A 26715-nucleotide genomic window follows, 5' to 3' on the forward strand; every position below is an offset into this window, starting at 1 on the left:
GTCTGTGTACACGCTCTTCATAGCACCCTTTGCTTTCTACTACCTAGAATTACAACTAAAACCAGTGTATCAGACCGGTGTGGCAGCTCACACCTGCAATCCCAGCACTTTGGGAGGCTGAGGTGGATCACTTGAGCCTCAGGAGTTCTGAACCAGCCTGGGCAACATGGTGAATCCTCATCTTTACAAAAAAATACAAAAATTATCCAGGCAAGGTGGTGTGCACCTGCAGTCCCAGCTACTCAGGAGGCTGAGGTGGGAGGATCACTTGAACACAAGGAGGTCAAGGCTGCAGTGGGCCGTGATCGTGCCACTGCACTTCAGCCTGGGTGACAGAGTGAGACCCTGCCTCAAAAAACAAAAACAGTGTATTGTAACAGGCATGTTTGTTTATTTACCCGTCTCCCCCTCTGGATTCCATACACCTGGGGACACAAAATAATCTTGCTCTCTTAAAGAGCTCCAGTTCTGGCCAGGCACGGAGGCTCATACCTGTAATCCTAGCACTTTGGGAGGCCAAGGCAAGCGGATTGCCTAGGCAAGCGGATTGCCTAAGCTCAGTTCAGGAGTTCGAGACCAGCCTGGGCAACATGGTGAAACCCCATCTCTACTAAAATACAAAAAAAGTTAGCCAGGCATGGCAGTGTGCACCTGTAGCCCCAGCTACGCAGGAGGCTGAGGTAGGAGAATTGCTTGAACCGGGAGGCAGAGGTTGCAGTAAGCCGAGACTGCGCCACTGCGCCACCGCACTCCAGCCTGGGCAACAGAGCGATTAAAAAAAAAAAAACCTCCAGTTCCTGGATCAGTCTTGGTGACAGCAGATGTTCTGTTACTCTGTTCTGAGTAACAGAACAAAGGGACAAAAATTCTTAAATAGCTTCTTTAGGACTATAAAAAAAAGTCCTAATTGAACTGGTAATCAGAACCTGCATGATCAGGCCTCAACTTACCTATCTAGCCTTTTCTCTCATTCCCTCTGTTTCGTTTCCTTTATGGGATGATTACACTGCTTTACTAGCTGATTAGCATTACTGCCTTAACAATATGCCCTTTACTTTCTTATCTCAGTGACTCTATGTGCTTCCAGAATCCCCACCTCTTTTCAAACCTAGTTTTCAACAAAGATGCAAAAATGAAGCCTTCCTGTTCTTTCCAACCCATAATTTCCCCCTTCCTTTGATCAAATCCAACATTACATTTTTAAACTCTTATGTATTATATTCTGCCTGTACAATGGCTATGTATGAATTTATTTTAATTACCTTAATATATTGTCAGTTTTAAAAAAGCAAATAGAGTTGATCCTCTTTATTTATGGACTCCATATACGCAAATTTGCCTACTCACTAAAATGTAACCTCAAAATCTGTATTCACGGTGCTTTCATGTTCATGAACATTAGCAGAGGAGCAAAAAACGTGAGTTGTCCAGAGCACACATTCCCATCCGAGGTCAAACAAGCTGACACTTTGCCTTCTTGTTTCAGTTCTCAAACCATAAACAAGGGTCCTTTCTATAATCTATTTGGTGCAACGTATTTCACACTTTTATGCTTTACACGTTGGCAATTTCGCTGTTTAAAATGGCCCTGAGCATAGTGTTCAAGTGCTATGTAGTGCTCCTAAACACAGGAAGATTGTGATATGCCTTACAGGAAAAAAATGCGTGTGAGATAAGCCCTGTTCAGACATCAGTTATAGTGCTGTTGGCAGTGAGTTCAATGTTAATAAATCAGCAATTTTTTTATATATTAAAAAAGATGTCTTTAAATAAAAACACACATAAAAAACAAAGTGACGTACTGACTGGCTAAAGAAAATGTCACCAGAGGCTCAAAGGAACCTACCCCTGTGTTTTCCCCTAGGAGCAATGGTTCTGCTTAAGGCGACTTTATAAAACATAGCTACCTCATATAACCAGAACTGACTACACTATATCTTATGCAGTTTTCTTTCCCTCTCGGTGCCTAACAACGAATGTCTAACATAAGATGGCTTGTGAAAAACTGACAAATGAATATGTAAGTGAACTCCATGATATCTTGGGAACAGAGAAGGGAGAGGTGGAAAGGAAGAAAGGGGAGCTGAGACCAAGATATGAACAAGGGAACTAAAATAAACACCCTCTACTCAACAAACACACAAAGCCAGCTCTTTTGGGGGCATGACTAGAAAGACTTATTAATTTACTATATCCTCTGAAATTAACTCAATGACCCCTTGCCAAGACTTAAAAAGTTAAGATAACTTGGCACAAGATTTCTGTGTCCCATAGAAAGATTTGAAGAACTAAATGAAATCTAAAGTTAAAAAACATACTTCAAAAACATGAAAACTTCTCCTACCCATGCTGAGTGTAAACTATGGATTTGGGAGCCATCACGAATTTCATTTCTATAGATGTACCAATTCTTTTATATAGACAATTTTCACTTTTCTGGCAGGTTGTTAATTGAAACTTGTACATACTGGAACCCTCTCCTTTTTTTGCACAATCTATTACCACAGAAGAACTGTACAAAGCCAAGACTGCTTTTTCTCATACTTCACACTCTCTTCCACAATACAGCCATATTTGTTTGGTTATTGGTTTTTAATACACATAACTCTAATGGGCCAGGCATTGTCCTAAGCCACGGACAATTCATTTAATCTTCCTAACAACTCTATGAGGCAGCTACTATTACTATCCCCATTTTACAGATGAGAAAACTGAGGCACAAAGAGGTTAAGTATCTCACTAGAGGTCACACAACCATTAACTGTCAAAACATGAACCCAGGCAGTCTGATTCCATAGATGAAGGTCCAGAGACCATGTTATTAATTGCTGTTTATAATCATGATTTCAGCCACTATCACCTTCTACTCTTGTTCTCCCTTCCAATCCACTATCCAACTCAGCACCAAGAGTAAGTTACATGGCCCTGAGCATAGTGGTGTCATTAAGCGGTGTCATTTTGCTCCCTTATCAAAATTCCTCATCAGCTGCTTATGACCCTTAGAATAAACCCAAACTCCACACAGTGGCTTACAAACCTCTGAAGCTACTCCTCTTCTTCCATGTTCTTGCCACACTGCACTGCCACTTTCTCACCAGCTCTTTCTTTATCCAGGACCTTGCTTATTCTAAAATATCCTCTCCTGGAACACTTTCTTTCACTTTCTTCACTCTACTTTTCAGTCTTAAAGTAGGTGCCACATCCTCAGAAAGGCCTCCTCTGGCCACTCTATCTAAAATAATCCCACTCATCATTCTTAACTGCAGCCTCTTTTCTTCGTAACACAGAATGTATAATTATTTTGTTTACTTGCTCTTTTTATTTACCTCTACCAAAACTTGTTTACAGGTATATTTTCAAGTACCTACAAGAGTTGCAAATGATCAATAAATACTCATTATATTAAAAAGCCAGGTTATCCTGTGGCTTCCTGTTACTTCTGGTTATAACACTTTATTCCCCTTGGGATATAAGTATCTGACATGAGATGCATACCTATAATTTGAGTCTTCTTTATCAGCGATTATGTAAGCATTAAGAATATACTGGAAGCTGTAATCCCAGCACTTTGGGAGGCTGAGGCAGGAGGACTGCTTGAGCCCGGGAGTTTAAGACCATGCTGGGCAACATGGAGAGACCCTGCCTCTACAAAGTATAAAAAAATTACCCAGGCATGGTGGCCCACACCTGTGGTCTCAGCTACATGGGAGGTTGAGGTCAAGGCCGCAGTGGGCTAGATTGTGCCACTGCACTACAGCGTGGATGGCAGAGTGAGACCCTGTCCAAAGAAGGCAGGAAAGGAAGGATGGAATATATGTAAATACACACACACACACACACACACACACACATACTGTAACTCATTAACTAAAAGATGTTTATCATCATGTATTCTAAAAACTCATACTTGAGAAATGCAATCGGTCTAAAAGAAATGTCAATTATGTGTTGTTATTTTCAAATTACTCCTTATAATATCTGAAGAAGGCTACAAAGATACTACTTACATTAAATTCAAAATCAGTGTTGTCTTGCCAGCAAATTTCTCAAGCTCTTTTACTTTTTTTTTTTTTGAGACGGAGTCTCACTCTGTCCCCAGGCTGGAGCACAGTGGCGTGATCTTGGCTCACTGCAACCTCCACCTCCCAGGTTCAAGCGATTCTCCTGCCTCAGCCTCCCGAGTAGCTGGGACTACAGGCACGTGCCACCATGCCCTGCTAACTTTTGTGTTTTTAGTAGAGACGGGGTTTCACCATGTTGGCCAGGATGGTCTCAATCTCTTGACCTCGTGATCCACCAGCCTTGGCCTCCCAAAGTACTGGGATTATAGGCACCCTGTAATCCCAGCCATCGCACAAGCCACCGTGCCCAGCCAAGATCTTTTACTCTTAATGTTCAAATTAAGAACTTAACATTTGTCCTACTTAAAATTACGTAATTTTTCAGCTTTATATACATTTTTTCTTAATTGCTGGAAAAATGCCACTTTTAACAAATGGCCAATTTAATCCAATTTAAGTCAAGGTTTTTTTGTTTTTTTTTTTTTTTTGAGATGGAGTCTTGCTCTGTTGCCCAGGGGCTGGAGTGCAGTGGCACGATCTCGGCTCACTGCAACCTCTGCTTCCCAGGTTCAAGTAATTCTCTTGCCTCAGTCTCCCAAATAGCTGGGATTGCAGGCACCTGCCACCACGCCCAGCTAATTTTTGTATTTTTAGTAAAGTCTGGGTTTTGCCACGTTGGCCAGGCTGGTCTCAAACTCCTGACCTCAAGTGATCCACCTGCCTCGGCCTCCCAAAATGCTGGGATTACAGGCGTGAGCCACAGCATCCAGCCTAAGTCAAGGATTTCATATTTCAAATGAATTATATATTTACTCTGTGAGTAAAGCCAGCCTAAGTACATGCTTAATACGTACATCTTAATTTTATCTATAAATTCTCAATACTTTTTTCTACAAATTTTGCAAACGTGGATAGTTTACACTTCTATTTGCAAAATAAAGTGCCAGCATTTAATTAGAATAGTGCTGCCATAATTGAGACTCTTAAATTACTCAGTAATCAGTTGCTGGTATAAACAATTCAAAAACCAAAAGCAGTTGCAATATAACAGAACTATGAATTACAGGTGAAAGGCTGTAACAAGAAATATTGTTAGGAAGAATATATTCTATGGGAGCATGTTATTGCCATAATCACAACCATTATCTACAATACATACACTTGTGTGGCATATGCTTTTTGTCTGTTCACACTTAACTCATTTTAAAAAAACAAATAGCATTGCTAGAAGTAGTGAAAATAGAACAGAAATATAGTGCTCTTCACAAATCTTATTCTCTTTATATTTAATAATATGAAACAGACCAGGTGTGCTGGCTCATGCCTATAATCCCAGCACTTTGGGAGGTGGGCGGATTGCTTGAGCCCAGGAGTTTGAGATTTTCCTGGGCAACATGGCAAAACCCCATCTCTACAAAAAGTACAAAAATTGGCCAGATGTGGTGGTGTATGCCTGTAGTCCCAGGTACTAGGGAGGCTGAGGTGGGAGGATCACCTGAGCCCAGGAGGTCAAGGCTATAGTGGGCCATGATCGTGCCACTGCACTCCAGCCTTGGTGACAAAGGGAGACCCTGCCTCAAAACAAAACAATCAAAAAAAGAAAATAAAACCTTAAGCTTTACTCAAAAGAAAAGTATCATCACCACACTTCCAAAGAACTTTGTCCCAGGCCAGGTGCGGCGGCTTACGCCTGCAATCCCAGCACTTTGGGAGGCCAAGGTCAGTGGATCACTTGAAGCCAGGGGTTCAGGACCAACTTGGCCAACATGGTGAAACCGCATCTCTACTAAAAATACAAAAATCAGCTGGGTGTGGTAGCAGGCAGGCACCTGTAATCCCAGCTACTTGAGAGGCTGAGGCAGAATGGCTTGAACCTGGGAGGTGGAGGTTGCAGTGAGCCGAGATTGTGCACTGCACTCCAGCCCGGGTGACAGAGCGAGACTCAGTCTTAAATAAAATAAAAAAAAAAAACAAACAAAAAAAAACAGAACTTTGTCCCATGTGCCAACTCTGGACTACAGGTGATCCTGCATATCAAGAAGTTCTAGAAATCTCCTAATTACAACAAAAATCTATCTATCTATCTATCTATCTATCTATCTATCTATCTATCTATACATATAATCAACTGTATAATCTCTATTTTAAAAATATGCTTTACCACTAAGTGGAACCAAAACCAGGAGTCCTCAGAGAAATGGCTGATTCCAGGGCTGAAGCAGTCAAAGTTTCAGGATAAGCCTAAAACATCTTTGTACCAGAAGCTAAGGGTGCTCAAAAGAAAAAAGAGGAGGTCGGGCACCATGGCTCACTCCTAGCACTTTGGGAGGCCAAGGTGGGCAGACTGCCTGAGCTCAGCAGTTCGAGACCAGGCTGTTGCTACTAAAAATACAAAAAAAATTAGCTGGGCATGATGGGCCTATAGTCCCAGCTACTCAGGAGGTTAAGGCAGGAGAATAGCTTGAACCCACAAGGCAGAGGTTGCAGTAAGCAGAGATTGTGCCACTGCACTCCAACCTGGGCAACAGCGTGAGACTGCCTCAAAAAAAAAAAAAAAAAAAAAGGAAAAAAGAGAAGAAGAACTGAGGAATAGTCTATTTAAAAAAAAAAAACAAAAAACTGACTTGTAGTTTCCAAAATGCCTGTCGTGAAAGACAAAGAAAGGTTAAGAAACTCTTCATTAAAAGAGACTAGAGAATCATGACAATTAATTAAATGAAATCCTGGAATGGGACAACTGACAAAACTGGAATATGGAAGAGGTAAAACTTGTTTCAATGTCAAATTTTCGGAATATTTTTTAACTACACTGTGGCTATCTAAAAGAATCATCCTTATTCTCAGGAAATGCACACTGAAGCATTGAAGCAAAGGGGGCATGATGTATATAATCTACTTTCAAATGGATGAGGGAAGTAAGTGTGTGTGTGTATGTGTGTGCGTTTGCGTAAACAGAAAAAGATGGGGGTGGGGGAGGGCGAATGACAAGCAAAGATGGCAAAATCTTAAAAATGGATGAATGTGGATAAAAAGTATACATGTATTCTCTTTACTACTCATTGTTAATTTTATGTGTCGTTTATCTCAATAAAAAAATATATTTTTGGCTGGCATGGTGGCTCACGCTTGTAATCCTAGCACTTTGGAAGGCTGAGATAAGTGGATTGCTTGAGCCCAGGAGTTCGGAGTTCGAGAACAGCCTGAGCAACACAGCGAGACCCCATCTCTTTAAAAAAGAGAAAAGTGTATATATTTTTTTCTTTTTAATATGCCTCAATAAGTAACATACACTTGGAACAAAGTCAAACTTCATGAAAAGGATTGGTTGTAGTCAGGTGCAGTGGTTCACACATGCAATCCCAGCACTTTGGAAGGCCAAGGCAGGCAGATTGCTTGAGCTCAGGAGTTCAAGACCAGCCTGGGCAGCATGGCAAAACCACGTCTCTATAAAAAAATACAAAAACTAATTAGCCAGCATGGTGGCATATGCCTGTAGTTCCAGCTACACGGGAGTCTAGAGTGGGAGGACTACTTGATGCCGGGAGGTTGAGGCAGCAGTGAGCCATGATGGTGTCACTGTAATCCAGCCTGGGTGACAGAGCAAGAGCCCGTGTTTAAAAAAGAAAAGAAAAAGGTCAGGCACGGTGGCTCACACCTATAATCCCAGCACTTTGGGAGGCCGAGGTGGGCAGACCACCTGAGGTCAGGAGTTCGAGACCAGCCTGGCCAACATGGTGAAACCCCATCTCTACTGAAAACACAAAAATTAGCTGGGCATGGCAGTGCACACCTGTAGTCCCAGCCACTCGGGAGGCTGAGGCAGAAGAATCGCTTGAACCTGGGGAGGCAGAGGTTGCAGTGAGCCAAGATGTACCACTGCATTGCAGCCTGGGTGACAGAGTGAGACTCAATCTCAAAAAAAAAGAAAAAAGAAAAGGATTGGTTGGTATTTCCTTTTCATTCTGAGCCATCATTTTTTTTCGGGTTTTTTGTGTGTGTCTTGTTCTGTTGTCCAGGTGGAGTGCAGTGGCACAACCAGGGCTCATTGAAGCCTCCATCTGCGGAGCTCAAGCAATTCTCCTGCCTCAGCCTCCTGAGTAGCTGGGACTATAGGCGTGCATCATCACATAATCTGTGAGCCTCGCTAATTTTATATTTTTTGTAGAGACAGGGTCTTATTATGTGGCCCTGGCTAGTTTCAAACTTCTGGGCTCAACAAATCCTCCCTCCTCAGCCTCCAAAAGTGCTAGGATTACAGCGATGAGCCAGCACGTCCAGCCGAGCTGTCATTTTCTTGATTTTACAATTTGAAGAACATTTATTTCAGAGCTGAACTAGCCAATAAGTAGCTCTCAAGTGCAGTCATTCTTCCACTAACTCACTGAAGAGTTAAAATGCAGCATGAACATTATAAGCTTTTAGATATAGATGTAAGTTTTAATGTAAAGGAAATTTTACTAGAGTTAAAACACATACTTTTACCGAATGTTGATAATTAAAATCTTATTTTATAGTTAAGTTACAGTAAAAGGAACAATCACTATTGTGTAAGTTATGCAAATTTTATTCTTATTCTTTTGGGACACCCACTACCAACAATATCCCAAAGCCATGTTGGTATGTCAAGCAGTCTTAAGTACTTATAAGTAAAAAATCTTAAAAGTCATTTTACTCAATAATACACAAAAATACCCTCCAGGGGCTGAGGCAGGAGAATGGCATGAATCCGGGAGGCGGAGCTTGCAGTAAGCCGAGATCCGCCACTGCACTCTAGCCAGGGTGATACAGCGAGACTCCAGGACACTTTAAAAAGGTCTTATAATTGTTCTAGTTAATGACAGAAGTTAATAAACACTAGCAAAATGTTATATTTGGATATGATGGTAACAGACTATTTATGACTCTAAATCACTAGAATATCCATCCCACTTATTAGAAAAACTTTGTTGAATATTTACCATAAAATATTTATTTGAAAGTTGCTTTGCAAATATCAGCCATTACAAATCCAACTGCATATCTTGTGGTACACATTATCTATTCCAGTACAAGTTCCTCAAATCCAATTTTCAATAAATTTTAAAAGTTTAAGCTCCTAGGGTTCATTTACAGAAACAAAGTATAGAAATATTATTTCTATTTAACAAGCAAAACACTCCTATTCTGTACTTACAGCAACTTCAGACTCACATCGTTTTGCGTGTAAGTTTAACCATGAAATATTCTTTCCTATTGCTGGCAGTTGCTTAAGGCCACTTGCACAGCTTATTTGCTCTTTAAAGTTAATCGATTTTGTTTTATAAAAGTAAGGACGGTGAGGTGTTTTTCTTGCCAGAGGTATCATATGTTAGACTGGTTTCACAAGAAGATCAAATATCCAAGGTACTCAAAAATGAGTAGAGCCCAAGGGTTTTATTTGTATTTTAGATCCCAATTCTAGTTTTCACAGGTATGATAAGATAGCCACTAAAAAAATTTTTAGAGTAAAAATTTTACTGTTAAAGGGGTTTAAATTTTATAAAAATTTATTTCCCAACTTAATTCCTATTAATTGGAACCTAAAAATGGCCTTTGTTCATCTAAATTTTAAACTTTTTAACAACTTCAGAAAATGCCTCACAATGACAAAACTAAAGAAATAAAACAAAAGTAAAGAACAATAATTTACTGACAACACAATGGTAAATAATTTACAAACAACAAGCATCTTAAGACTGCTTGACATACCAACATGGCTTTGGAATATTGTTGGTAGTGGGTGTCCCAAAAGAATAAGAATAAAGTTTGCATAACTTACACAATAGTGGTTGTTCCTTTTACTGTAACTTAACACATATTAGCTTATTTAATTCTCTTAACAGACCTGGAAGGTAGACCTTATCCTCATTTTATACAGCAGAAGTAGAGGAAGTATCTTGACTCACGTCCCTCCTATACTTACCCTTCTCACTCTTCATTTAAAACTAATACTCCAAGAAATTTGATCAACTGTGGCACACTCACAACCAGTTATCTTTTTAAATAGGTGGTGCTCCATTTAAAACACTCTATTAAGGCAATTTTATGAAATGTATTATCTTGTTCCTCAGGACAACATCTAAAAAAAGTAGTAAAATCAGTTAGCCTTAAAAAAAGGCATAAAAGCCTTCTAAGAAAATGACAATATGAGACATCCTGCACTGGCACAATATGTGAAAATTACGTCTTTGCAGACATGGGCTTGATATTGTACAGTCTGAGTGTATCATCTATAGATTTTCTTCTGCTTGATTAAATTCATATGTATTGCCAAATATCAGATGCTAATCAAAAGTATATAACTGTAAAAAACCTTAACAGAATGATAAAATGAAAAATCCTATATCTCAACAGTGGTAAGAGTGATACCATCTCTTTGTGAACTCAAATACTTGATATTCTGTTTAAATTAAGTAGGCTATAGTTTTTTTCATTTTTCACCAGTAATTAAACTTAGATGTATTATCCAATCTCAAAAACTAGACTTGACTTTTCTGACATGAAGGAAAACTGTTTCTAGAACCTGTCTACTGAAATTTTGAAGACCTTTATAATGTATTTTCCCCTCAAGTTCTCAAAAAAGAAACATTTATATCTCAAATTATTTAATCTGCACTATTTGATTAGGGTATAATATGGACCTTCTTTCGTTTATGACAGAACTAGCTTCTAAGAAAGTACTCACTGATATATCATCTTGTGTCATTTTCTATTTTTCATGCAGTTTTCATATGCATATGCCTTACAGAACCGTAAGCTGCCTACTGGAACCCTAAGATCTGTCACATGTCTTATAGTACTCTACAGGGCTTGTGGTTACTATTTAATAAGCACTCAGTGAAGGACCCTTACAAGGTCAGCCAAGATTAGTAAGGATATCAATAATGTATTTTGAGTTACTGTATAACGTCTAGATGTTTACATCCTATGCCAGAAATATAGTACTTAGATGGTACATAAGCGATTAAAGAACATTATTCCAAATTATCCACACTGAACATAAGAAAAATTGGAAAAAGTTGTGCATAAATCCTATTCATATGACATAGCACACACTGAGGCATGTCGAACTGACCAAAACATAAAGATCACAGGATTATAGAACTTTTAAAAGTTGGTCACAGAGGACCACTGATTCTGAAGCACATAATACAGCTCAACAAATGTAAAAATATTTTTTACAATTGCTTACAGAGAACACCTTCATAACAACAGTGAAGATTTTCTTTTTCACCTATGGAAACATCTATTTGCTTCCCTCTCATTAAGGGTCACCGACCTCACAGTCATTATTCAGAATATTGCAAGAGGTCAGAAAAAATTCCTTCTATGATAGGTGCATATGTGGAAAACAGAACACACTGCAACTGAATTTGGTTCAGAATCTTAAGTACTGTAGCCTGGGTGCAGTGGCTCACGCCTGTAATCCCAGCACTTTGGGAGGCCAAGGCAGGCGAATCACTTGAAGTCAGGAGTTCAAGACCAGCCTAGCCAACATGGTGAAACTCTGTCTCTATTAAAAATACAAAAAATAGCCTGGCGTGGTGGCACACGCTTGTAATCCCAGCTACTTGGGAGGCTGAGGCAGGAGAATCACTTGAACCTGGGAGGTGGAGGTTGCAGTGAGCCGAGATCATGCCACTGCACTCCAGCCTGGGCGGCAGAGTAAGCCTCCATCTCAAAATAATAATAATAAAATAAAATAAAATAAAAATTAAGTACTATAAATTTTTCCCAAGTAATTTTTTAATTTGTGTGAGGTATATACTACTAATTCACCTTTCTGGTAGCGAAATATGGACACACCTAATTTTACTGTGCTTTGCTTTACTGTGCTTCACACCTATTTAAGGTTTATGGCAACCTTGCATTAAGCATTTTAGTATTTTTTTTTTTTTTTTGAGACGGAGTCTTGCTCTGTCGCCCAGGCTGGAGTGCAGTGGCGCGATCTTGGCTCACTGCAAGCTCCGCCTCCCGGGTTCACGCCATTCTCCTGCCTCAGCCTCCCAAGTAGCTGGGACCACAGGTGCCTGCCACCACGCCCGGCTAATTTTTTTTTGTATTTTTAGTAGAGACGGGGTTTCACCGTGTTAGCCAGGATGGTCTCGATCTCCTGACCTCGTGATCCGCCTGCCTCCACCTCCCAAAGTGCTGGGATTACAGGCGTAAGCCACCATGCCCGGCCGCATTTTAGTAATTCTTACAATATTTCCAACTTTTTCATTATTCTTTCTGTTATAGCAGTCTGTGATCAGTGATCTTTGATGTTACTATTGTAATTGTTTGGGGATAGCATGAACCACGCTGCTAATTGATAGTAAGTTGAATGTGTCCTGACTGCTCCACTGACTGCCCATTCCTGCCGCTCTCCCTCTCCTCTGGCATCTCTATTCCCTTAGACACAATATTGACATTAGGTCAATTAATAACCCTACAATGACCTCTAAGTGTTCAAGTGAAAGGAAGAGCTGCACATCTCCTACTTTCAATCAAAAGCTAGAAATGATTAAGCTTAGGAAGGTATGTTGAAAGCTGAGACAGGCTAAAAGCTATGCCTCTTGTGCCAAAAAGTTAGGTTGTGAATGCAAAGGAAATGTTCTTGAAGGAAATTTAAAGTGCTAGTCTAGTGAACACAACAATGATAAGTGAAACAGAGCTTCACTGCTGATATGGAGAAAGTTTGAGTGGTTTGAATAGAATATCAAACTAGCCACAACATTCCCTTAAGCCAAAGCCTAATCCAGAGCAAGGCCCTAACTCTATACAGTTCTATGAAGGCTGAGAGAGGTGAGGAAGCTGCAAAAGAGAAGCTGAAGCTAGCAGAAGTTTATGAGGTTTAAGAAAAGAAGCCGCCTCCATAAGAGAAAAATTTAAGGTGAAACAGTAAGTGCTGATGTAGAAGCTATGGCAAATTATCCAGAAGGTCTAGCTAAGATCATCTAATGAAAGTGGTTACACTAAACAGATTTTCAATGGAGATGAAACGGCCTTCCAGTGGAAGATGCCATCTAGGACTTTCATAGCTAGAGAGGTCAGTGCCTGGCTTCAAAGCCTCAAAGGACAGGCTGAATCTCTTCTCATGGGCTAACGCAGCTGTGAGCCAGTGCTCACTGCACATTATGAAAATCCTGGGGCCCTTAAGAATTATGCTAAATCTACTCTGCTTGTGCTATAGAAATAGAACAACAAAGCCTAAATGATGGCGCATCTGTTTACAGCATAGTTTACTGATTATTTTAAGCCCACTGTTGAGATCTACTGCTCAGAAGAAAAGATTCTTTTCAAAATATTATTTCACATGGACAAGGAGTCACCAAGGAGCTCTGATGGAGACGTACAAAGAGATGAGTGTTTTCATGTCTGCTAACACAATGTTCGTTTTGTAGCCCATGGATCAAGAAGTCATTTAGACTTTCAAGTCTTATTATTTAAGAAAATACATTCCATAAGGCTGTAACTGCCTAGCTAGTGATTCCTCTGATGGATCTGGGAAAAGTAAATTGAAAACCTTCTGGAAAGAATTCACCATACTAGTTTTGCCATTAAGAATATTAGTGGCTGGGCACAGCTCACACCTGTAATCCTAGCACTTTGGGAGGCCAAGGCAGGAGGACTGCTTAAACTCAGGAGTTCAAGGCTAGCCTCAGCAACATAGCGAAACCTCATCTCTACAGAAAACTTAAAAATTAAAAATTAGCCAGGCGTGGTGGTGGGCGCCTGTAGTCCCAGCTACTTGGGAGGCTGAGGCAGGAGAATGGCGTGAACCCAGGAGGCAGAGCTTGCAGTGAGCCGAGATCGTGCCACTACACTCCAGCCTGGGCGACAGAGCAAGACTCCGTCTCAAAAAAAAAAAAAATTGTGATTCATGGTAAAAATATCAACATTTACAGGAGTCTGGAAGTTGATTCCAAACCTCATGGATCACTTTGAGGGGTTCAAGACTTCAGTGACGGACGTCACTGCAGATGTGGTGAGAACAGCAAGAAAACTAGAATTAGGAGCGGAGCCTGAAGATGTGACTGAATTGCTGTAATCTCATGATAAAGCTTGAATGATGAGTTGCTTCTTCTAGATGAGCAAAATAAGTGGTTTCTTGAGATGGACTCTACTGCCAGTGAAGAACATGGTTAAAATGACAACAAAGATTTTTCTTGTTTTTCTTGAGACGATGTCTCCCTCCATTGCCCAGGCCGGAGTACAGTGGCACCATCACTGTTCACTGCAGCCTTGACCTCCTGAGCTCAAGTAATCCTCCTACCTCAGCCTCTTGAGTAGCTGAGACTACTTGCCACCACACCTGACTAATTTTTGTATTTTTAGCAGAGATGAGGTTTCACCATATTGCTCAGGTTGGTCTTCAACTCCTGGGCTCAAGTGATCCACGTGCCTTGAACTCCCAAAGTACTGGGATACAGGTGTGAGCCACTGCACCTGGCCAAAAAAAATTTTTTTTTGAGATGGAGTCTCGCTCTGTCGCCCAGGCTGGAGTGGCACTATCTTGGCTCACTGAAACCTCCACTTTCCAGATTCAAGCAATTCTGCCTCAGCCTCCCAAGTAGCTGGGACTACAGGGGCCCGCCACTACCCCTGGCTAATTTTTGTATCTTTAGTAGAGATGGGGTTTCACCACATTGGCCAGACTGGTCTTGAACTCCTAGGCTCAAGCAATCCACCCGCCTCTCCCTCACAAAGCTCTGGGATTACAGGCGTGAGCCACTGCACCCGACCTAAGAATTATTATTTTTTTTTTTATTGAGACGCAGTCTCGCTCTGTTGCCCAGGCTGGAGTGGGCAACTTAGCTGATAAAGCAGTAGCAGAGTTTTAGAGGACTGAATCCAATTTTTTTTTTTTTGAGGTGGAGTCTCACTCTGTCCCCCAGGCTGGAGTACAGTGGCGCTATTTCCGCTCACTGCAACCTCTGCCTCCCGGGTTCAAGTGATTCTCGTGCCTCAACCTCCCAAGTAGCTGGGACTACAGGGGTGCGCCAGAATGCCGGCTAATTGTGTTTTTGAGATGCAGTCTCGTTCTGTTGTCCAGGCTGGAGTGCAGTGATGCAATCTTGGCTCACCGCAACCTCTGCCTCTGGGGTTCAAGTGATTCTCCTGCCTCACACTCCTGAGTAGCAGGGATCACAGGCGCCCGCCACCACGCCCAGCTAATTTTTGTATTTTTAGTAGAGACGGGGTTTCACCACGTTGGCCAGGTTGGTCTCGAACTCCTAACTTCAAGTGATCTACCCACCTCAGCCTCCCAAAGTGCTGGGATTACAGGTGTAAGCTATTGTGCCTGGCCGAATTTTTGTATTTTTAGTAGAGACAGGATTTTGCCATGCTGGCCAGGTTGGTCTTGAACTCCTGACCTCAAGTGATTTGCCCACTTTGGCCTCCCAAAGTGCTGGGTTTACAAGCATGAGCCACCACGCCCAGCCTGACTCCAATTATAAAAGAAGTTCTACTTTAGGTAAAATGCTATCGAGCAGCATTGCATGCTACAGAGAAATCATCTGTGAAAGGAAGAATCTATGATGCAGAAAACTTCATTGTTATTTTAAGAAATTGCCACAGCCACCCCAAACTTCAGCAATCCCACAACCCTGATAAGTCAGCAGCCATCAACATGGAGGCAAGATTTTCCACCAGCAGAATGATAAATACCTGCTGAAAGCTCAGATGGCTGTACTTTTTAGCAATAAGATATTTTTAAATTAAGGTATGTACTTTTTTAAACATAATACCATTGTGCATTTAATAGACTACCACATAGTGGAAACATAACTTTTATATGAACTGGGAAACTAAAAATTTGTATGACTTGCTTTATTCCAATATTCACTTTATTGCAGTGGTTTGGAACTAAACCTGTAATATCTCTGAGGTATGCCTGTATAACAATTTTTTTGTTTACATGATGTCTTGTAAAAGATTAGCATAAACTGCTAAATACATATTCTGAAAGTATATCATCTAGATTTAAATCTAGACTATCTTCTAGATGTGCTATCTGTGGCACACTCTTGGCATTCTGTGCCCAATTTCCTCATAAGAAAATTGAACATAACAATGTTGTCACCTTTGTTCTTGGCACATGGCAAATGCTCAATAACTATTAGCTTTTATTATTAGAAATATCTGGATTTAAAGGATATCCTCTGTAATAAATATCAACTTACCAAATTTAATGTATTCATTCAAAAATATTTGAGCGCCTACTATGTGTCATAATTGTTCTAAGAGTTAGTAATACAGCAGTAAACAAAACAAAGTTCCTGCCCTCAAGGAACTTGCATATCAGAGGCAGGAGATGAATACATGTAACAGAGGAAGGCAAGCACAGAAAAAAATAGTGACGAGTGTGAGTGCATACTATGTAATACAGGAGGTCCACTGAACAGAACAGAGAAAGTGAGGGACAGTGGTGGGAGAAGAGATCACAGGCGGGGCAACAAAGAGCCAGATCTGTACAGGCAATTAAGCAATGAGATGAGAAGCCACTGGAGAATTCTGAACCCATTTGACTTAGTATTTTTAAAGAATCCCTCTCGCTGCTGAGTGGACAGCAGATGACAGGGCTAAACATTTTACATGCTTAGTGAGAAACAGGCCATCCTTCAAAGCCCCATTCAGTACCGAACTTATAAGCCAAATACATCAAACTAAGGATATTACTGGCTGGGCACAGTGGCTCACGCCTATAATCCTAGCACTTTGGGAGGCTTGAGGCGGGCGGATTGCCTGAGCTCAAGAGTTTGAGCCCAGCCTGGGGAGCATGATGAAACCCTATCTCTACAAAAAATTAGCCGGGCATGGTGGTAAGCACCTGTAGTCCCTCTTACTTGGGGGACTAAGGTGGGAGGATGGATTGAGCCCAGGAGGTCAAGGCTGCAGTGAGTCAAGATCGTGCATGCCACTGCGCTCCAGCCTGGGTACAAGTGAGACCCTGTCTCAAAAAAAAAAAAAAAAAAAAAAAAAAATTATTTAACCATGGGGGTTTAACTACAAATTAAGACATGTAGTTTCAACCGTATAACCTAAGTCACTTTAAAAAGTGATAAATGAAAAATTAGTATGAGAAAAATTAATAGAAAAAGGCTCAGTATGCCTATTAGCATTGTTCTTTTTTTTAATATTAAAAAAAATTTTTTTAGAGACAAAGTTTCACTCTGTTGCCCAGGCTAGAGTGCAGTGGCACAATCACAGCTCACTGCAGCTTTCAACTCCTGGGTTCAAGTGATCCTCCCATTTCAGCCTCCCATGTAGCTGGGACTATAGGCATGCATCACCATGTCCGGCTAATTTTTTAATTTTTTTGTAGAGACAAGGTCTGTGTTGCCCAGGCTAGTCTTGGACTACTGGGCTCAAGAGATCTTCCCTTCTCGGCCTCCCAAAGTGTTGGGATTACAGTTGTGAGCCACGGCACCTGGCCTTGCACTGTTCTTTAATGATTTACTAAAAATGCATGAAAACAAATGGCAAACAAACAAACAAACAAAAAACCCGAAAATTGAATTTTCAATGCATGCCTTTTTTCTACTATAAAAATATAAGCTATTTGAATGAGAATTCTTGAATGAAACATTTCATTCAATAGTTGTTGAAAAAGCACGCATGTACGTTTACCACATAATGATGAGTGTGTGCAAAATTATAAAAGATTATTTATATTAAAGTTATCTAGAACTTAAATACTGTCCTAAGAATTGAGAAGCTAAATAAAATTCATGTCAAAACAAATATTCTAGGCCAGGCACAGTGGCTCACACCTGCAATTCCAGCATTTTGGGAGGCCACGGTGGGTAGATTGCTTGAGCTCAGGAGTTCGAGACCAGCCTGGGAAATGCGGCAAAACTCCATTTCTACCAAAATACAAAAATTAGCTGGGTGTTGTGACATGTGTCTGTCGTCCCAGCTACTTGGGAGGATCGCTTAAGCTACTTGGGAGGATCGCTTAAACCTAGGAGGCTGAAGCAGAGATGGCACCATTACACTCCAGCCTGAGTGACAGAGCAAGACCCCGTCTCAAAAAAAAAAAAAAAAAAGAAATGAAATATTCTAAAATTGGCTAACTAGACTCTTCTTAAATGAAGTACAAACCATTCATGTGCACTGTTGCACATTAACAAAATCACTCACATTTAATAATTCGTTAGCTAAATCTATCCACAAGTAATAAGTAGCTATAAATTGGCTCAAACATAGGAATATATTACGTTCCTTTACCTGTATTTAATTTTCAGGCAAAAGAGCCCTGGTAAGCCAAATAATTTCTTGCCAATTTGAGGGGTTGAATAACCAGAAAGCCCTTTCTCCAATGTGCTTTCCTTGTATATACTGTTTGTCCATTGTCAAACACCATGAATTTGGTATCACATATTTTAGAGGATTCTTTTTCTTGATATTGTTCAGTCTCTTAAGAATAAATTGTCTGCTTCAATTTGCATTTATGAAATAAATCTTTTTATGTTTTAGTAATGTTTTACATTAGCAGTTACTTTAAAATCTTGAGAATACACAAAACAAGCTGAACAAAATATTAAGAATTGGCAGATGGAATTCGCGATATGTCTTTCCAAAGACTTTATTCCTCAACATGTCTTTTGAAAGGGTATTTCTGCAATATGCTTTGCAATATTAAAGTAGAAGCCATTTATGATTTAGCAAAAATAATACAAGGCATAAACAACAGAGGTATTTAAATTAGCTGTCCTATATGTAGGCTAAACTGAGTCTTAAGAGAGAGTACTCACTGAAAATAATGATTTCATGGATGAAGATATAGTTCCTACATACTTACAAATAACCTAGTCTGACAATGATATCTCTATTTTCACAAACACTGTATTCCTTTGATTTTTCTAGTGTTATACTGTTTTGTGTGTAACAGTAATAACAGTAATAGATGTTTCAAGAGTTTACTGTATGTCAAGTACTATACTGTTTCACATTTAATCCTCATAATCCTATAAAATATCATCTCTATTTTACAGAGAAATAAAGATACCATTCTAACACATAAGATCACCGTTTCTAGTAGCAGACCTAAGATTTCAATCCAGTTCTCACCTCTGAACCACTAGCTATTCCCACATTTATTAAACACCATCTGGAGGCACCTAAGTATAGTGGCAAAGTATATTTGGCTAGCAAATTATTATAAAAATACATAGATGGACAAACACACATAATTAAGCTAAACAAGGAAAGCTCACATGAAGCGTTAACCTGAAAAACACAGAAGAGTAAACAGTAAAATATGTTGTCACCAAAGGTAGCTGAGACTAAAAAGTTAACTGTATATAAGAACCTTCAAAAGTACTAAAAATGTACTTTGAATCTGTGAAGTGATCTTCATTAAAACAAACATTGGAAACAAGTAGGAAAATAATATAAGCATACAAAAGGCCAGAGGCAATGGCTCATGCCTGTAATCCCAGCCCTTTGGGAGGCTAAGGCAGGCAGATCACATGAAGTCAGGAGTTCGAGACCAGCCTGGCCAAAGTGATGAAACCCCGTCTCTACAAAAATTAGCTGGGCATGGTGGCACATGCCTGTAATCCCAGCTACTTGGGTGGCTAAGGCAGGAGACTCGCTGGAACCTGGGAGGCAGAGGCCAGTCGCAGTGAGTTGAGATCACACCATGGCACTCCAGCCTGGGAGACAGAGCAAGACTCCATCTCAAGAAAGAAAGAAAAAAAAAAAAGTCCAGAAAAAGACTCAACTGTAGAGCCATATTGTGAAACCTTGGATTACTAGCAAATGGCACTCAAAATAAAAAAGGCTAAGTACTTTCAATGGACATATCAGTAAACAGATGAAAAACTGCTTTGTAGGCCGGGCACGGAGGCTCACGCCTGTAATCCCAGCACTTTGGGAGTCTGAGGCAGGTGGATCACCTGAGGTCAAGAGTTCAAGACCAGCCTGGCCAACATGACGAAATCTCGTCTCTACTAAAATTACAAAAATTAGCCGGGCATGGTGGCACGTGCCTGTAATCCCAGCTACTCAGGAGGCTGAAGCAAGAGAATTGCTTGAACCCAGGAGGCAGAGGTTGCAGTGAGCCAATATCGCACCATTGCACTCCAGCCTGGGCAACGAGAGCGAGACACCATCTCAAAAAAAAAAAAAAAAAAAAAAAAAGAAAAACTGCTTGTAAACTAATACTAAAGTGTGCAAGAAAACATAAGAGGCAGTTAAGTGCTTTTTAAAAGCACCCTGACAGTAGTACTAAATAGATTAAACTACAGAAAATTACCCCTAAGAAATGCTAGCAGAGATAAACCAAACTCATCTTTCTTTGGAATTAAATTCCTAATATCTACTTGTGTCCAGTTACTAGAAAAGGAGGAGAATAATTAATTCATTGTTTCAGCAATAACAATTACTTATAATCGGTTCAAAGAAAAGTTGACATGGGAAGACTAGAAAGCTGACAACTATCTTACTATCTCTGCTTTCAAATTCCAAGAAGCAAACTGAACAGAGATTTACTGGTAAGATAAAGAAAATAAAGGGGATGATATCTGAAGACTGAAAGAAAAGAAAAGAAAAATAATCCATTCAAGTTGTAGCATATTTGTAGTGGCAAGGTTCTTGAAGGCAGGTATTGTATGTTTCGAGTTCAGAAAATAGAGTACTAGACCAGGCGCAATGGCTCCCGCCTGTAATCCCTGCGCTTCAGGATGCTGAGGCAGGCAGACTGCCTGAGCCCAGGAGTTCAAGACTAGCCTGGGCAACATAGCAAGAACCCTTCTCCACAAAAAAATTTTTTAAAATTAGCCACGCATGGAGGCGCAGCTGTGGTCCCAGCTGCAGTGTGCATGTTTGCATCACTGTGCTCCAGCCTGGACAACTGAGTGTGACCCTGTCTCAAAAATAAAAAATAAAAAGAAACCAGACTACTAATCCAATAAATAACAAATGTATTGCCTGTTAAAATAAATGAATATACTATTCTTTATAAAAGCAAAAGTTTCTCCCTCTGGAGTCAGGAGACTAGAACAGCAGTTTCTACAGCTCTATTACATTATCTAAACATTTAGGAACTAAAACCAAGCAAATATACATCAATAAAAATCAACTTATGAGGGAAAATGCAAGCTATGCTTAGGAGAATAACTTAAAATGGACTACCCATAGCTGTTGCCTTAGGACCTTAGCCAGAGCTGTTTGAATCACTATCAAAAAAAGGGCCACTGAGGCTGGGCAAGGTGGCTCATGCCTGTAATCCCAGCACTTTGGGAGGCCGAGGTGGGTGGATCACCTGAGGTCACAAGTTTGAGACCAGCCTGGCCAACACAGCAAAACCTCAGCTGTATGAAAAATACAAAAATTAGCCAGGCATGGAGGTAGACGCCTGTAATCCCAGCTACTCGGGAGGCTGAGGCAGGAGAATCATTTGAACCCGGGAGGTAGAGATTGCAGTGGGCTGAAATCACGCCATTGCACTTCAGCCTGGGGGATAAAGTGAACTGTCTCCGAAAAAAAAAAAAGGCGGGGGGGGGGGCGGGTCACTGATGAAAGAGATTTACCACTAATATTACTCCTTGCAAGGAAAGAGAAGGATTCGCTGAGCTTGAACAAATAAGTAGCAGTTTTGATCTACCACTACCATGTCACCTTCATTACATTCCTCAAATCTAGAGAGAAAATAGAACTGCAGCAACTTTCAATTTTACCATGTATAGGATGACAAAATATAAACATGTCCAATTTTATTACAGCCACAAGTAAAGATAGGTCATAGGATGACAATGATTAAGCTAGTGCTCCTAGTTGGTGGGAATGGTGCCACTTATCCTTTCCTGCCACATCGCCTTTTATGCAACTTGACGAGTGGGAAGATACTGGCATTCCAAGCTCTGGCAGGCCTATGGCTTTATCTGCTTCCCTCAGTTCCACAATGTTCTGCAAAACAAATCCCTCTACTGCCACCAGGAGGTGCAGCGATTGTGGAAAATATACCCCCACTTCCAGAAAAAGTCTTCAAGGTCTCAAAAGCCAGTGTTTGAAATACATCATTATCACTTTGAGTAGCTGAGATGGGTGGATCACCTGAGGTCAGGAGTTCAAGACCAGCCTGGCCAACATGGCGAAACCCCGTGTCTACTAAAAATACACAGATTAGCTGGGTGTGGTGGCAGGCACCTGTAATTCCAGCTACTAGGGAGGCTGAGGCAGGAGACTCGCTTGAACCCCAGAAGTGTAAGCTGCAGTGAGCTGAGATCTCGCCACTGCACTTCAGCCCCGGGAACAAGAGCGAAACCCCATCTCAAAAAAAAAAAAGAAATACATCATTACACTTAAGAGCCGCTACCATACTGAATCTAAGAGTGGCTCCAGGAAACACATTTTTCAGAGTACATTTCTTTTTCTGAAGTAAAACCTCACTGGGTATCAATATACACTAAAAGTCCTAGTCTTCCTGAGTCATGGTCTTATTTATTGCATAAAATATTTAAGTATAACATTTATTGATTACCACTTTTTAAGAAAATTTCCCTTTTCAGCCTAAATTGTCTACAGAGGATAATGGCTCCAAAATTTGTCTGCTATTGTAAAAACTAGTTCCAACTATTTTTCCTTGATGGAAATGCATTTCTCCAATAGCCATCAAAGGTGGAAAAAGTCTTACTCTAGCCAGGTCCCCTCATTTTACAGATAAGGAAGGCAAAGTCTGGAGATTCATGTGATTCTGCCTCAAATCATACATACAGCTAATTAAAAACGTAATGCCAGAATATGAACCAGATAGTTAAACCCCTAACCTTTCTCTCATAGAAGCCCTCATTCTATTGATCCATCTATCTGAATAGCCCTTAATCACGTCACTGCTTCTTCATTTGCAAGTTCCTTCATCATTTTATACCTCTGATAATCAGACCAACCATTCTATGGATGCACGTCTATTATGGCATTATAAGGTGCACAGTCTAACAGATCCACGGTTCTGTAAGATGCTTACATTTGGGGGGAAGAATTTCTTCTCTTCTTGCCAGTGAAAAGATGAAAATTAAAATCCCGAGTACTCATCAGTAAATCAACCTCATGTTCTAATCTTAATATGTGTCAGACACCCACAAAAGCCTTAAAAAGTCTTTGGTGACAACATTCTTCTATGTTCTTGAATAATTTGGTTCAAGTCTACATCCTAAATTGGGTAGTAAAAAGATAGATAATATTTTTCAACAATAGCTTTTCCTTTAGATAACTACTTACATGGCAAATTTAACCTAAAGCACGTGAAGATTAGTAACAAGTGTGATAAGCAAATATGAAAGGTACAACAATAGTAGGAATATTGCCTCGATTTCTGTCTTACGAACAATGTACAGCCTCTTCAAATTTTTGAGTACCACAAATTTGGTCCTCTAAGAGAACAAGGTGTTTCTTAATGGTTTTATTCTTCTGACCTCTGACTGAGAAATAAGGAGGCAGTGCCAGGCACGGTGATGCATGCCTGTAGTCCTGGCCACTTGGGAGGCTGAGGTGGGAGGATCACTTGAGCCCAGGAGTTGGAGGGTGCAGTGAGTTATGAACACACAAAAGAATGAGACCCCATCAAAAAAAAAAAAAAAAAAGGTAGCTTTTAGTCTTCTTTTGGCCTTTAAAAAACTATTTAAGTTGATATCCTAATCTTTACACAATATACTAAAAAAATGCCAATGAACCTAGATCTGGAAAAGATCTAGTTTATTTCATCTTCGGTAAGCAAAAGCAAAGAATATATAAATAGCTAAATAGTCCGAAATAAATAGCTGAAGCCTTAATAGCCAAATGAGTTGTTATAAAGGAAAATTATTAAAGCAAATCACTTTTCAAACTTGAAGCTTCTTTCTTAAAGAGGTTTATTTCACTCTAAATGCAAAACATTTGCTAGTTTCAAAAGTACACTAATATAAACATATTCTGTTAAGGGCTTTATATGCAATACAATCCCTTAACCCTTAAGCCTCACAACAACATTCTAAGGTAGGTATCGTTGCATTTTCATTTTGTACCAGAGAAAACTAGGGCACTGTGAGGATAAGTAACTTCCCCAAGGTTATAAAGCTTGAACCCAGCTTTGCAGGTTCTGAAACCTGTGCTCCTTAGGCACTCTATTGCCTTCTTGGTAGCACAGAAAATATAAAAATATGGTCAAGCTCTAAGTTCTATCTGATGTATCAGACAAGGCACTGGAAATTACTTTGTTTCCTGGTGTCAAGAAAACAGTTTGCTATCTATACTTCCTGATTTTAGGTTAGGTGGGTGGCACAAATCAACTGTTTTTCTCACCACACTTATTGCATAATCATTAAAGCCCCAAAGGAAGAGGACTGCTTAAATTCTTAAACTTTATTTCCTGCTGGCCTAGAAGACCTTACTTAACCACTGTTATACCTGATATACTCATTTTAAAAGTTAAGGTTTTCCTTGTGCAAGTAAGAGACTAAAGTTATTTCAGTCTTAAAGGAAATCAACTACGTACTGGTCGTTTTACCTGCTTTTAAAAGCAGATCAACAGGATATAAACCTGGGTTGTTTTTTTCCTTAAGAGGACATTTCTTAATGACCTCTTAATTTAATCGAATGGAACAAGTAGCACACCAAAAATGATGTGTAGTGGAAAAAGAAACAGAAGAAAAAATCGCAAGAAGTCATATAGTGATCTACTTTCACTAGTGTTAGAAAAGCAAAGGATGAGTGTCTTCTTGAGTAACTTCAGGCTGACCACAATAGCCACTTGTTACACTACTACCACCCACTCCAACACTTCAGGTTCATTAGGAATTAAGAGGAGGCAAGGAAGATAAAAGACACACCCCAACCAGGTCTAAGGTCTCTCCGTACTACACCTTGAGGGACACAGGGAACCAGTGCATTGTGCCCCCCACCCCCAAACCTTCCCTGCTCCCCAGGAGGCAAAGCCCACGGCCTGGGGCCAAGACAGTCCTCCGGCCAGGGCAGTGACCCAGCGCCAAACAACCCGCCCCTTATGACCAAAGCGTCGGCACCCAGGGGTTGGAATAGGGGAAGGGACGGGAAGGCCTGGAAAGGAGAGAAGGGTGGCCAAGAGGATGTTTTTTTTTAAAACGAGGGAGGGTCCCTCCCCAGCCTCGCCAGCGGGGATGAGGCCCGGGGCCGGGAAGGAGCGGGCCGCCGCCATGATGGGGCTGGCAGAGCCAGGGGGCGTGACGTGGGCAACCCCTAGCCCAAGGCCAGCTCCTTCTCCCCCTCCCCCCTCCCCCACGTGGGCCTCGGCCACAACTGCCCCCCGATACTCACGCTTTGTCCACCAGCTCGCGCACCTTCCACATGTTCAACATCGTGCCCCGCGCGGGACGGTCCGCCGCCTCCCTCTCCTGCTCCCCACGGACCCCGGAACACTTCCGTACCGGGGCAGTTCCAGGCCGGGGTCACCGCCGCCCGCCGCCTCGAACTCCCCCAGTCAGCTCCTTCCTTTGCCACAGCAGCGGCGCCGCCGGTGACACGTCGAGACGCGGCAGCACAGGCGCTGCGTGGAGCGGAAGTGTCCGACTTTCCGCCGCTGCGCGCGGGGCACGCCGGGACTTGTAGTTTTCCCTGAGTGCCGAGCTCGGCCGGTTGAGTTGGGAGAGCTGAGAGGTTGAGTTGGGAGAGCTGAGAGGAGTTGGGATGGTTTCTCTTAAGCTTTCCCAGTCCCCGGCCCCAGACCTACCGAGCCAGAAATTTTGGAGGTGGGGCCCAGCGATCTGTGCTTTTACAAATCCTCTAGGTGATTCTGATCACGCTCAAGTTTCAGAACCACTGGTGCAGGGTCTAGTCACACTCAAACACTTTTCAAATGTAAGGCAGTATTACTATGTTATTAGTAATGATTATACAGAAGTATGATTGGCATACGCATTCCTCATCGACAGACACATCGCTGTATTTATTTCCCAATGCCCAAGTACACTTAGATCTCTAGGCCTTAGTTTCCACCCCTGTAAAATTGAAGAACTTGTATTCTAAATCCTTTTCCGCTCTAATTCTATGATACAATGTTTTATATTTAGACAACTACCTGAAATCCTTGTTAAATGCTTTACTATAAACCTCAGAAACTCAGTTCACACTCCACGGGAAACTAAAAAGCCAACATTATATATACACGCACACATACACATACATATGACAGGTTTGTGTTTTTTAAGGATAAATATGCACATTGCTTCCATTGCTTTGTTGCAATGGTTGTCATCACTTCCTTCTCTACTTACTCATTTTTATCAATGCTCATGTTAAAGCTACAAGCAACCTTAAGTTTCATTTGATCCATCTGCTGAAATTTTACAGTTCTTTTCATTCTACAAATATTTATTGAGCATCTTGTATGTTCCAGAAGTGGGGAATATAGTTAAAGACCCAGCTCTCTTGGAATTCAAACGTAATTGGAAGAAACATATAATAATCAAGGAAACATTTAAGATAATTGCATATAGTGTAATTGCTTAGCGGGTTCTTTCTGCCCACTTTACAGATAAAGTCAATTCACTGCGACCAAGTCATTGCAGTGAAGAGTTTGACATGAGGCTGGCCATGCCACTTGAGAGACAGAGTTATTACTCAAATCAATCTTCCTGAACATTTGGAAGCTAGAGTTTTTCAAAGATAGTTTGGTGAGCAGAGGGTTAGGGCA

The 26715-nt window shown here is 40.9% G+C and overlaps 1 protein-coding gene across 6 annotated transcripts in view, besides 3 other annotated features; it reads right to left on the reverse strand.

The window, feature by feature from the left end:
* Positions 1–25556, reverse strand: part of CLINT1 (clathrin interactor 1) — a 73399-nt gene extending 47843 nt beyond the window's left edge. For 5 of the 6 annotated variants that reach the window (NM_014666.4, NM_001195555.2, XM_017010087.2 and 2 more), the window contains exon 1: positions 25341–25556. In NM_014666.4, the coding sequence (NP_055481.1) occupies positions 25341–25381 (41 nt within the window). In that variant the 5' untranslated portion in view covers positions 25382–25556. The remainder of the gene's footprint in view (positions 1–25340) is intronic. The other variant, NM_001195556.2, reaches the window with a different exon arrangement.
* Positions 25186–25767: an enhancer, noted in NCBI's record as "H3K27ac hESC enhancer chr5:157285783-157286364 (GRCh37/hg19 assembly coordinates)". NCBI's record gives its function as "activates a minimal SCP1, AML or CMV promoter by ChIP-STARR-seq in primed H9 embryonic stem cells {active_cell/tissue: H9 hESC(primed)}" and the evidence as "EXISTENCE:reporter gene assay evidence [ECO:0000049][PMID:30033119]".
* Positions 25186–25844: a biological region, named in NCBI's record as "H3K27ac hESC enhancer GRCh37_chr5:157285783-157286364".
* Positions 25605–25844: an enhancer, noted in NCBI's record as "active region_23532". NCBI's record gives its function as "activates an Ori minimal core promoter by ATAC-STARR-seq in GM12878 lymphoblastoid cells {active_cell/tissue: GM12878}" and the evidence as "EXISTENCE:reporter gene assay evidence [ECO:0000049][PMID:35858748]".

The sequence above is a fragment of the Homo sapiens genome, chromosome 5 (assembly GCF_000001405.40).
Source record: "Homo sapiens chromosome 5, GRCh38.p14 Primary Assembly".
NCBI lineage: Eukaryota > Metazoa > Chordata > Mammalia > Primates > Hominidae > Homo > Homo sapiens.